Below are 13,526 nucleotides of genomic sequence, written 5' to 3'. Positions count from 1 at the left end.
CCCCATACCTTGCCCTATGCAACTCTTCCATTTGGCTGTTCCTGAGTTTTAGCCTTTATAATAAACCAATAATAGTAAGTAAAGTGCTTTCCTGAGTTTGGTGAGTTGTTCTAGCAAATTATCAAACATGAAGAGGGCTGGTGGGAACCCCCAAATTTATAGTCAGTTGGGCAGAAATGTGGGTAGCCTGGGCACCTTCTTTGCAGCTGATGTCTGAAGTGGGGACAGTCTTGTGGGACCAAGCCCTTAACCTATGCCGTCCGGATAGTTATTGTCAGGATTGGGTTGCATTGTTGGATACCCAGTTGGTGTAGGAGAATAAGAGAGCAGCTTAAGCCAAAAAGGAACTGGTTGGCTTGGTGACCTAGAGACTCCCTGACGTAGCCCAAGGACTCCAATAATGTGCTCAGCTCACTTTTGCTCCACCATGCCCCTTTCCCCATCAACATGGAATAGTTCGTCTATGTTGATCTCATTCTTTCCCACTGCTGATAGGCTCCCCGGGATGGCTGGGTAGGGTACACAAAGATGAGAAGAGGTAGAGGTGGGGTATGCCCACAGACGGCTATAGCAGCATACAAGCTCAATAATCATGGAGGAAGGAGAGCTTCTCGTTCCCAGAATCTAAAGCTGATGACATGGCTTGGGTCATTGGTCCACTTCTGTGGGCAGGACAACGGGCCATGTGATTGGTAGCAGCAGCAACCAGCAAAGACAGGGAGGGACTGGGGAACAAACAAGACATCAGGTATCTCCTCACTGTCAAAGCAGATTTGAGTTTGTGGAAGGCTTAGTGGTGGTCATCCAGTCCAGCTGCCAGAGACACTCAGGATGGGGCACACAACTGCCCATCCCTCCTTTCCTGGCAATGGCCACCTCACACTACCTGTGTGGCCTTGGGTCGGTGGTTTCCTCACATTTAAATCAAGGGTTTGAACTTGATACAGTTGTTTGAAGCCCCTCCCAGCTCGGATCATCCAAGGACTGTCACAGCTACATGAGATGAAGACTGCTTGGGGAAGGGGCCCTGCCACGGCTTGAGCCTCGACCTGTGCAGGAGCTGGTGCTCTGGCTGTTGAAGCTCGGCTGGCCAGAGGCAGGCGCAAGGGCTGAAGCCAGGACAAGAAGAGAGCAGGCCAGAGCCACCGATCAGGACGCAGCTGGGCAGAGGCATAAATGGAAGATCAAATTGCTCAGTGAGTGGCCCAGGCCTGAAGAACCGATGTCAGCATATTTGAAGTGGTGAGGGTGCTGTCACAGAACTCAGCCCTCGGGCTGCCTGTATCACTGGGGTGAATAGGGGGACAGGGTGGCAGAGATCTGGAAGCTCCAGGAGAGGGAACAGGGAGAGGAAAACCTGTAGGTGGAATAGAAGCAACTCAGCTTCAGGCCAGGAGGTTGTGCCTCTCCTCACTTAGCTACTGGGCTTCCAGGGCCCAGGTGGGATATACAAGAGAATATAAAGCCCATGAATTGCCAAGTCCCCAAGCCTCCCGGGAAACGGTGCCCTCTCTGAACCATCACCTGAAACCTCTGGTGACCACAGAATCTGGGCAGGTGTCACCATGGGACTAGCTCCAGGGGAGATTGTGATGCCGGGCTTACCAAGTACCCAAAAACAAGCAGGTAGAGTGCTCACGAACCCACGAGAGACTCGAAGGAAGGGCTGCCTTTGAACCCCAGGAGAGGCCAGTTGAGGACAAACAGGAGTCTCCTTCATAGAAGGAGGAACCCAAAGAAAGATGTGGATGGAGTCCAAGCAGGTTGGAGAGAGAATGTCATTAAAAGAGCCATAGATGTCTACTGAGGAAAGTCAGAAGAAAGCAGTACTGGCCTCAGAAAGCCCCATGAGATGACCCTGGGGCCTCTGTCAGTAAGATTCTCAGAAGGAAGGAGTTTGGCCAATGACCGCGATGGAAGTCCTGAGCCGGCCATTCTTTCCCTGGCGTTGCTCTCAGTGAGGGGTCCTGGAAGCACAATTTCTTCCCTGAAGGGAGCAGAGTACTTACAGTGCTGCCCTTTAGAAATATGACACAACTCCTAGAAAAAAAAGAAAGGGCTCTCTCCTCCAGCTCATTTATGTTCTGGTTTGTCGGTTCTCATGCCAAGGGAGAAACTGGTGGGAGTAGAGGAGAAAAGGATTCTCTTAGTAAGTATTACGGTCTTCTGAAAGTCTATAAACAAGGTACCAACTCAGTAATTACCACTTAGATCTGGTGCTCAAAAAATCAGTTCAGGTTCATTACTTCCAGCTAAGTTAATCAACCCCAAGAGGAGGGGAGGAGAGAAACAATTTCTGCATACATAAAAATTTATTATCCGTTCCTATTTTACTTTACTTAATATCGTTGTGTGATGAGGCTTTGCCTGGAAATCGGTGTTTGGGAAGCTCAGGGTGAGAGGAGGCACCTGAGGGTCAGGAGGCCAGGCTCCAGGCCAGCTCTGCCTCCAGCGAGCTGGGAGACTGCCCTGCACTCTGGCTCTACCTGTCTGTCCTCGGGAGGGGCGATTCGTTCCAGCCATGCTCAAGGGTGTTGATAATTCACATCCCCCAAGGAACCTACACTCCATGCATGTTTCCTGAGAGCCTAGCACTGTGCCTAGCACGATGAACGAGACAGACAAGGTACTGAGTGTTTAGTTGGATTCAGTGGAAAAGCGATTACAGGATAGAGTCCAAAAAAGCTGTGAGAGAAAGAGAAGGAAGACCAGAGGCCAAATGAAGCTTTGAGCGGAAATAAATATGAAAGACTAGGTGAGGCTGTGAAGATGGTGGGCAGAAGAGACATCATCATCTCAAAGCATTTACCAAGCACCAAACCGGAAACTCCTTGCCATTCACAAAACGCGAATGCTTTTCAAAATGAGTTTTGGGAGTGAAGACTCCATTTCCTAGGCTCCAACAGCATAGATGTGTGACTCAGTTCTCCCATGGAAGATGCAAGTGGAAGCTGTGTACTTTTGTTTCTTTAAAGGTGGGATAAGCATCTTTGCACTCTCATCGTTCTTGCTGCCTAAAATGTGGATGCATTGGTTGAAGCCCTGGCAGTCATCTTGGGCCATGAGGTGACCTTGAGAGAAGCCATGTACAGTGGAGAAACCAACTCAAAGGTTCCAGGGTCTCTGCTGCATAATCGTGGAGCCACCTTACTAGCCCTAGACAGCCTACCTCCAGACTTCTTTTACATGAAAGAAAAATAATTTCTAATCTATTCATGTCTGATGGTCTTAAGAAAGTCATTTAGCTCCTCTAGGCCCGTTTCATTTATAAAATGGGATAATATTATCTACCTTAGAGATTGTTGAATGTTTGCCACAGACCATGCTGGACTGAACAAAGGAGGATGAACATGGGAATAAAGACAAAGACAAAAGAGTGTGTTTGGAAGAAGGGGTCGGGGGCTCCTTGCTTCTAGGGAACAAGGGCCCTGAGCTTCTAGAGCCCTTCATATTTATTGAGTAAAGGAGATAGGGAGAAGGGGGTGGTTATCAAGAATGCTGAGCTGGTCACTCAGGCTATTGGCTCCCAACAAATGTTGGCTATTATTACATCTTATTTATGCTACTATTTTTTAAACAGCTTTACTGGGATATAATTGATATGCCGTAATAGTTTGCCCACTTAAATGTGCAATTCAGTGGTTTCTAATATATTTATAGTTTTGCAATTATCACAACTTAATTTTAGAACGTTTTCATCATCCCTCAAAGAAACCTTAACAGTCACTCTCCATTTCCCTTCTATTCCTCCCCAGACCTAGGTATATATATTTCTAAACAACAAATTATCTTTAATCACAATTTAAAGGGTGCTTGAAGTACTTTGTGATCATAGGTACTCCTTAAGACAGATTTTTCTGTCAGTTTAGATTCTCCCCAAGAGAATGACCTTACATTACAATGCAACTTATTTGGGGTAAGAGTATGACATTGCATTGGATTTATCTTAAGGTGTCAATGTGCAAAGTGAATGTCACTGTTTAAATATACTTTTAGACAGTTTTTTTCCTGCATTCACTTTCAATATTCATTTTTATGAACACAAATCTTTAAAAAAAATCAAATAGGATCATCATGAGGCTTATGATGAAAAATGGCAGCTCCCTTCTCAATGCTGCCCTGTTCACTGTCCCAGAGGTAGCCACTTTCACAATCCTCTATCACTTACCTCTAAATTTTTAAATAACATGCTTATACCACTATTTATTTTCCAATTTTAGACATCATCTTACAGAAAGAGCAGATTTATACCTTTCCATCATCCCAATATAATTTTTATTTTTTAGAAACAGGGTCTTGCTCTGTCACCCAGGCTGGAGTGCAGTGATCACAGCTCACTGTAGCCTTAACTCTTGGGCTCAAGCAAACCTCCCCACCTCAGCCTCCCAAGTAGCTGGGACTACCACCATGCCCAGTTATTTTTTTTTTAATTATTTTTTTAGAGACGGGGGTGGGGGGGGGTCTCACTATGTTGCCTAGGCTGGTCTTGAACTCCTGGCCTCATCAATTCTCACCTCAGCCTCCTGAGTAGCTGGAATTACAGGCATGAGCCATCATACCAGCTACAGTTATTTTATTATTGTTCTTAAATCACTTGTTGGTGTTTAAATGAATAAAATTTACAATTGGCTGGGTGTAGTAGCTCACGCCTGTAATCCCAGCACTTTGGGAGGCCGAGGCGGGCAGATCACGAGGTCAGGAGATCGAGACCATCCCGGCTAAAACGGTGAAACCCCGTCTCTACTAAAAATACAAAAAATTAGCCGGGCGTAGTGGCGGGCGCCTGTAGTGCCAGCTACTTGGGAGGCTGAGGCAGGAGAATGGCGTGAACCCGGGAGGCGGAGCTTGCAGTGAGCCGAGATCCCGCCACTGCACTCCAGCCTGGGCGACAGAGCGAGACTCCGTCTCAAAAAAAAAAAAAAAAAAAAAAAACAAAAAACACAAAAAAACTAGCTAGGCGTGGTGGCGGGTGCCTGCAATGCCAGCTACTTGGGAGGCTGAGGCAGCAGAATTGCTTGAACCCAGGAGGCGGAGGTTGCAGTGAGCCGAGATCGCACCATTGCACTCCAGCCCGGGCGACAGTGCAAGACTCCATCTAAAAACGAAATAAAATAAAATTTTACAATTGAGGTGGGCAGTATACTATCATGACATTTACTCTTTTTTAAAAAAAAAAAAGTTTGATATGACTAGGCCTAATAGTCCCCCTACCCTTTCTTCCCAATTGCTTTGTGGATGCTTTGTAGGTATTAATTCAACCCCAAACTCCTCTCAGTACCCTCAAACACAGTAGGTCCATTCATTGCAGGTTTTTCCTTGCATACCTCCTTCCTGCTGGCCCTGTCCTCCAGCTGGCTCGTCTCTAGACTTGCTTCAAGCTACTATTATTCAATCTTGAAAGTTATTTGAGGCCAGGCACAGTGACTCACGCCTGTAATCCCAGCACTTTGGGAGGCCCAGGGGGGTGGATCACCTGAGGTCAGGAGTTCCAGACCAGCCTGGCCAACATGGTAAAGCTCTGTCTCTACTAAAACTACAAAAATTAGCTGGGCGTGCTGGTGGGCGCCTATAATCCCAGTTAGTCGGGAGGCTGAGGCCGGAGAATCACTTGAACCCAGGAGGTGGAGGTTGCAGTGAGCTGAGATCATGCCACTGCACTCCAGCCTAGGCAACAGAGTGAGACTGTCTCAAAAAAAAAAAAAAAAAAAAAAAAAAAAAAAGTTATTTGAGTCATACCCAATTCTGAAAGATACAGCCTACTTTATTTGTTCACTCTCACTAAGATAGGCTCTCCCCAAAACCTAGACTTATGTTCGTTAAGCTGGAAAAGGCTTGGAAGTGTTGCTTTCATCCAACCACCTTGCCTTTTGTTTCTCAGGCAACCACAGGTTGCTCAATGCCTCTTCCCCGGCTTTGTTGGCTTGGAATTCACAGGGTCGTTTTTCTCCAATTCTGGTTCTAGTTTAGCAGTCACCAAACGAGCTTCAGGGAAAAACATCACTGATGAATATTTCTAAGACTTAGCATACTTGGGCTGCTAAGATCACCCCTAACAATAAAAAATAAAGTAGCAAAGTGCTCTACTGCTGATTAGAGAATTATAAGCTAGATTATTAACATAGCACTTAAAGAGGGAGGGAAGAAGTGGAGACCAACATGGGGTGGCTATTTGGAAGTGGCCAGACTGACTGCAACAGAGGCGTGAGCGCCTTTTGAGTATGTATGGAAAAATCCTTTCATATCATCATGAAAATGTCAGAGAGTACTCCAAAGGGCATAAACTTGTGACCTTTAACCAAATTCAGATTTAAAGACATATTTGTTTGGTCCGTGATGTTTTTAAATTTTTGAATGATTTTACATTGAGGTGTTCACTTTAACCCACTATTCTCTGCATCCTGCACCTGGCCTTGAAGGTATGGCATTTGAGAACTCTAATAATCCAACCCCCTTAAGTTACAGAAGGAAGGCAGGAGGAAAAACAGTGATGTTTAAAGTCACACAGCTAGGTGGTGAAGCAAGGATTAGAACCCAAGTCAAGCAGTCTTCCTAATACACCACATTGCTGCTTACTTGAACTCAGTTGCACATTCAGGCCTGTAAACCTTAGTCATGCGAAGTTTACTCCGTAAGCACGTACTTAACAGTAGAGTAACGAAGAGAATCTCCAGGGTTATTCCCTAAAGCTTGGATAAAACATTTCCGGCCCCTGATGGAACATATACATCCTCCAAGTGACCGGATTTCAGGACACCAGCCCTCAGCAACCTGCTTCAAACACTGCTGACAATTTATTTTAACTCATTTGCCACACTTCTGGCTCATCATCTCTCTTTTCATTTAAACACAATCTTTCATCCAAACAGGGTACAATGCAATCACTTGGTTGGATGCCAGCATTTGGTGACTAGTCAACTTTCAAATATGCAGCTTCCTAGCTGCTCACTTTCCTTTGTGTGAACAAGCCTCGGGAGAGCAGCCTTGGTAGCAGCAAACCAGGTGTGCAGCAGGGGCCCACGTGGATGCCTCTGGCTGTGTCTGTGGCAAGCCTTCCACGGGAGTGCCACAGCCCACAACAGAATTAGAAATATTTTACATCTTTACCACACACTGTTTTTCTTAATCCTGGTGCATTGCCCATACCACTTGCTTTGACACTTAATAATTTATTGAGAAAGATTAAATTTATCACATGTACATCTCAGATTCGCTGGAGATAGGGTACTGGGGTTCAAATCCCAGCTCTGCCACTTACTGGCTATGTGACCTGGGCAAGTTACTAAACCTCTGTACCTACGTTTCCTCATCTGGAAAATGTAGATAATAAGATAAAAGATAATAAAAGCACCTGCCTTTCAGGATTAAGAGGAGCCTTTGGGGAGCCAAGCACAGTACTTTGCACTTTTCAGATACTGACAAAGTATTTAATGTTGCCAATTTTGTTGTTGTTGTTGTTGCCCAGGCTGGAGTGGCGCGATCTCAGCTCACTGCAAGCTCCACCTCCCAGGTTCATGCCATTCTCCTGCCTCAGCCACCCAAGTAGCTGGGACTACAGGCACCCGCCACCATGCATGGCTTTTTGTATTTTTAGTAGAGACGGGTTTTCACCGTGTTAGCCAGGATGGTCTCGATCTCCTGACCTCGTGATCCACCTGCCTCGGCCTCCCAAAGTGCTGGGATTATAGGTGAGCTACCGCGCCCAGCCAAATGTTGCCAAATTGTTAATCCACATTGTGATGTTAAAGATTCAACGTGGAGTCATTTTCGTGATTGCTTTGGCTGAGCCTGATGTTTAGCAATGAAACACACTGGAATTGACAATAAATATTAAATTTTAAACATGAAAAAAATGGACAAAATGTATCTTGCTGGATGGACAAGGCATATAAAAATTGCAGGTCAGTGGTTGAATTTAAAACAGTTGCATTAATGTCTCAGATTCAATTATACTTAATTTGGCATTAACCTATCTCTATTCATAAAATTATTATTCATAACATTTATTGGACTAATTCTGTCAACAAAATTCCAGGAAATAAACAATCGTGATAGTGATAGGTTAATTGCTAAGGTTGTGTTTACTGGTTAATTCTGAACACAAAAGAATTCACTGCTGTTGTTTTTTTTGTTAGACGTAAGAAACTGCCCACTGACAGAACTTTTTCTTGTTTCTAAATTTAACCATTTAAGTTGCTAATTCTTCTTTCCCTCTTTGAGGTGAACCCAGGGCAGCAAGCAACAGTGTGATCTTCTACTCACCAAATCCAGAAGTAAGACCAGGGCAGTCCAGTCAAGGCTGCCCAACACCTGCCATTTCCATATGGTTCACCCCACTGCTGAATTTCCCACATGGCTGGACCAGAGACATGTATGGGCACTTTGGTTTGGACAAACCACACACCAAAGCAAATGCATACTGACATACATTTAATTTGAGCATGTTCTGAATGTTGTCTGACACCATGAAATACTGTTCTTCCAGGGAGGTCAAGGAAACGGCTGTAGCAAATGCAAGGAAAGGGCTTCCCATTGCCCTCCTTAGAGAGAACAGGAGGCACTGATAACTCCCAGCAACAAGACACTGTCTACAAGGGATTATTTCCTCTGTGATATCCTAGCACTGCACCACAGAGGTTAACTTCTGAAGCAGTATAAGAGGAAGTAGTAGCTCTATCAATCAAGATAAGTGGTGTGGGTGTGAAGACAGGCCAACATCGGGCAGAAAACTATCACACTGGGCTTCCACTTCCAGTTTCAGTGTAAAAATACATGTAACATTCTGAACATTTTCATCATTTTCTCCAGCCGCACCCTATCTCCTTAACCCAAACACACTGAGTCCAGAAAGACAATCAGAGATTTCCTTTGTATATGAAAATTCTCCTTACTCATTTGTTCTTCCCCATAAGCTAATTAACATTGTTTATTTCAGACCAGGGACTGGTTTTTCCTGACTATTCTGTACACCATTTTAATCAGCAGAATGTAACTAACAAGCTTAAAGAGCCACTCAATACTGAATCAGCAGCTCATACCATATGCTTGGGTAAAAACATACTTCCCAAAAAAGCTAAATGCAGAAAGACCAAGGATAGAAGATGTATTTAATACTCAAGAAGTCTAACAGGATGTGGAATATTGAGATTTTAAGGGGGAAAAGTTATTCTTTAAATACATCTACCCTAGTCACCGGGCTAGCTTAGTCAATAGAGTATGAGACAAGACTTAAATATATCTTAAAACATCTTTCTTATACCAGTTTTGCTACAACTTTTAACTCCAAAACAGTATTTTAAGGAAAAAAAAATCAAATTACAAAAACAACTTCATCTTAGCTTCTTAGTGCTAATTTTTTTTAAAGATGCAAAAAATCATGTATTTTCTCAGAAACATGGTTATGTGGTCAACAGATTTCTTAACAACAGAGTTCTAAATTTTGGATAAAATTTATATATCCAGCTTTATTCTGGTATTACCCAAATTCATGTTTGAGTGGGAAAGAAAAACCAAACCACATTATAAATTTAAATTTTAAGAAAAAACCTTTGACAGGTCAGAAATTAGTTTATATTTTGCTTTACATACACCATTCTAAAAGGAAGGAAACACTAACTGAAGGCCTGGTTTTACATTAGCATATTCATGTAATAAGCACAGATTAAGTTTGAAACTTCTTAAGCAGATCTATTACGTATTTTCTCATTTTCAAAAACATCTTAGAAAACTGTCTCTTTTAGAGGAATGAAAACAGCCTGACAGACTACATGTTTTCTTGGAATGAAGTCTCCCCCAATTTCTTGTAGCCCTAACAACTAAAACCATGAGCTGATTTCCACGTTAAACATGCTTCTGTGCAGCAATCTAAAAACACTCTTTCACAACCACGGGATGAACTATTTCATTGGAATTTAAAATTTGCTTTTTGAATTATATGAAAGCTTTTCATGTATAAGTGATTAAAAGGATTTGTAAACCAATAAATATTTCTACATTTAAAATCTTCCTCTGTCAGTTTGCCTTTTTCCTAAGCCTTTGGCAGCCAGAAAAGAAAAACTGATGTAACCCACTCTAAATTAACGATGACGAAAAAGAACTTGGTAAACTGAAAGGACTCATCGGTCATACATTTGTTCTCATACCAAACTTTAACTGCATTAAAAAAAAAAATTGCAGCTAACTATAAAGCAAGCACGTGCAAAACCACCACTCAGGTTAAAAACCAGAACTGTGGCCCTCCAGAAGCCCTAATGTGCCCCCTCCCCATCAGCACTCCATTTCCCTAAAGACAATCACTCTGATTAACACAATCACTTTTTCTTTACAGTTGCCATCCCAAAGACTGCATCCCTAAACAATACCACCTATTCTTAAACTTCACATAAATGAAAAAAAAACTGTATCCTTTTGTATCATTTCTTTTACTAAACGTTTTAAGATTCCATCTATGTCATTTTGTGTAGCTGTAGTTCATTTTCACTGATGAGTTGTTTCCAGTGTGGAGGTATTAGGAACATTCTTGTATACATCTCGCAGCACAATGGGCAAAAGCATCTCCAGAGTATGCACTTAAGAGCAGAATTGCTGGGTCGTATGCGTCTTTTCAATTTCACCAGATAATCTTAACACCCCTACCAGTGTTATTCCACATCCTCAACAACAGCTGGAACTGCCACACTTGAAATGCTTGTCACTATGGTGGTGGGAGGTGGCCTGGCATGGTTTTCATTTTCATTTTTCTGACTGGTGATTAAAGACCTTTTCATGTTTATGGACCACTTAGATTTCCTCTTGGGTGAAGTGTCTGGATTTTTTTAAATAGCTTTATTAAAATATAATTCCTATACAATTCATCCATTTAATGTGTACAATTCAATGGTTTTTAGTATATTCACAGACATGTATAAACATCACCTATTTTAGAATTTCCATCTCACAAAGAAACACCGTATCCTTTAGCTTTCACCCCACCTACCCCCTATTCCCTGGCACCAACCCTGAACTGCTACTTTGTCTCTACTGCTGTCTCTATTCTGAACTTTCACATGAATGAAATCATACGTGTTGACTCTTGTAACCAGCTTCTTTCATTTAGCACAATGTTTCCAAGGTTCATCTAAGCTGCACCATGTACCAGTACTTCATTCCTTTAATGGCTCAATAATATACTCCATTGTATGGATAGACCACGTTTCATTTATGCATTCATCTGCTGATGGACATTCGGGTTGTTTCCACCTTTTGGCTATTATGAATAATCCTGCTATAAACATTTATGTACAAGTTTGTGGGGACATATGTTGTGATTCCACTTGGATATACGTTGGAGTGGAATTGTCTGAGGAACTGCCAGACTGTTTTCCAAAGCAGCTGCACCATTTTACATTCGCACCAAGAGCGCATGACAGTTTCAATTTCTCCACTTCCTTGCCAGTACTTACCATCTGACTTTTTGATTTTAACTATCGTAATCAGTGTGAAGTTGTAGCTCATTGTGGTTTTGACTTGCATTTCCCTGATCTGCATCTTTTCATGTGCTTACAGTCCATTTGCATATCTTCCTTGGAAAAATATTCAAATTCTTTTTGTTAATGAGATTCTTAAGTGACCCCTTTTCTTAGTGATTTTATAGGAGTTCTTTATTCCAGGTATTAAAAAAGAAGAAGAAAAGAAATGCAGTCTTGCTATATTGCCCAGGCTGGACTTGAACTGCTGAGACTTGAACTGCTGGGCTCAAGTGATCCTCCTGCCTCAGCCTCCTGAGTAGCTGGGACTACAAGCATGGGACACCATGCCCAACTCTTTGATATTTTATAACGTACCAGTATGTTCTTCCATTACGATTCATGTCTTTTCACTTGTGGTGCCTTTTAATAGAAGTTGTTAATTTCAAATAGCTAAATAAGTCAAACTTTATGGATGGTGTTTTTCTGTGACTTAAATTCTTCCCAAAGCCAAGGACATAAAAATATTTTCCTATGTTATCTTCTGCAGAACTATAAAACATTAAAACCTTGAGAGTATTACCTTGTACATTTGGTCTAAAAATCACTGAAGGTGATTTGTTTTGTTTTGTTTGAGACACAGTTATCACTGTATTACCCAGGATGGAGTGCAGCTCACTGTAACCTCAACCTCTCCCAGATCACGTGATCCTCCCACCTCAGCCTCCTGAGTAGCTGGGACTACAGGCAAGCACCACTATGCCCGGCTAATTTTTGCATTTATTTTTGTAGAGATGGGGTTTCGTCATGTTGTCCAGGCTGGTCTTGATCTCCTGAGTTCAAGTGATTGCCTGCTTCGCCTCCCAAAGTGGAGGTTTTTATATATGACATGGAGTAGGGGTCCAATGTCATTTCTTCCTATATGGATACCCCACCAGCCCGCCGCATTTATTAAAAAGACTGTCCTTTTTCCCTCACTTTGCGTAGGATTAGCTAATTCTTAACCGCTTCATCTCTTTATTGTAAAATAGGAGAAGTAGACTAAATCAAGGTTCTCAATCTGAAACGTTTTGTTAAAATCCAGATTTCTAAGTCTTATCATAGACCAGGGATGGGAGAATGGCAGACGGGATGGAGGCTCACGGTAGGACTCTGGATATATAATAAGCTCCTTAGCTAATTCGTATGCAGCCAGCCTGGCTCCTGTCAACAGATGGACATTCTGGGGGAGTCACTCGCAATGATCTCCATGGAGCCCTCCAGTTTAAGATATTTTACGAGGTCTCTGAGCTATTTGTTTCTTCCAAAATATTTGAAGTCACACTGCGAAGAACTACAATGCATCTCAAATTCCACAAACTACATGATTTTATTTATAAAATTCAGCACATCACTTATTATTGCCTATGTCAATTGCAAACAGTCCTCAGTTACAGCTCTCATTTTTCAAAATAAAAATCTTTGAAAATGTCCTCAAAGTAAAATATTACTAAATATCTTATTAAGTTGATAGCCCATGGGCACTGACAGTTAACACTATGGAAAAAGGGTTAATATAAAACAATATAAAACTATTACAGACAATAGCTTATCAATATTACCTTCATTCCATTACTGGGATTTTTCACGTAGTAACTTTTATTCGTGAAATGATTTCATTTACAAAGCTATTATTCTTTGCTATTACTTCAGCTTTTAGCTGTTTTAACTTTATTGTGATGTTTTCTTCTGACATTTCAGTAAAGGGCATTTGTTTCACCTTGGACAGGAACTCCTGAATAATTTTTTCACCTTGCTGAAACACATGTGAATGTCCCATTAGTAATTAAAATATCTTTTCTAAAAGTCATGTTAGACAGTGACAAATTGTTTCATTTCCATCTAAACATATCACACATTTAAAAAATTTTTTTTTTATTTTTCATATTTTTAGAGACGAGGGTCTCACTATGTTGCCCAGGCTGGTCTCAAACTCCTCCCACATTAGCCCACCCAATATTTGAAGAACATATTTATTATTTATGTGTGCACTGTCTAGTTCCCAAATTCCTCCACCTTTACAATTGATAAACTTTAATCATCTGT

The 13,526-nt window shown here is 42.0% G+C and overlaps 1 protein-coding gene across 54 annotated transcripts in view; it reads right to left on the bottom strand.

Moving 5' to 3' along the window:
• Positions 1 to 13,526, bottom strand: part of MSH2 (mutS homolog 2) — a 306,764-nt gene that overhangs the window by 213,816 nt on the left and 79,422 nt on the right. For 8 of the 54 annotated variants that reach the window (NR_176250.1, NM_001406660.1, NM_001406661.1 and 5 more), the window contains one exon: positions 12,792 to 13,236. The exons of 37 other annotated variants lie outside the window; for them this stretch is intronic. Coding sequence is in view for 12 of the 17 variants with exons in the window: in NM_001406660.1 (NP_001393589.1) it covers positions 13,066 to 13,236 (171 nt within the window). In the remaining 5 variants the exon portion in view is untranslated. Of the gene's footprint in view, positions 1 to 12,786; positions 13,237 to 13,334; positions 13,523 to 13,526 lie in introns of those variants that run through there. 9 more of the 54 variants (NR_176242.1, NR_176235.1, NR_176237.1 and 6 more) reach the window with 3 other exon arrangements.

The sequence above is a fragment of the Homo sapiens genome, chromosome 2, assembly GCF_000001405.40.
Source record: "Homo sapiens chromosome 2, GRCh38.p14 Primary Assembly".
NCBI lineage: Eukaryota > Metazoa > Chordata > Mammalia > Primates > Hominidae > Homo > Homo sapiens.
This window is presented reverse-complemented; position numbering and strand designations above follow the sequence as displayed.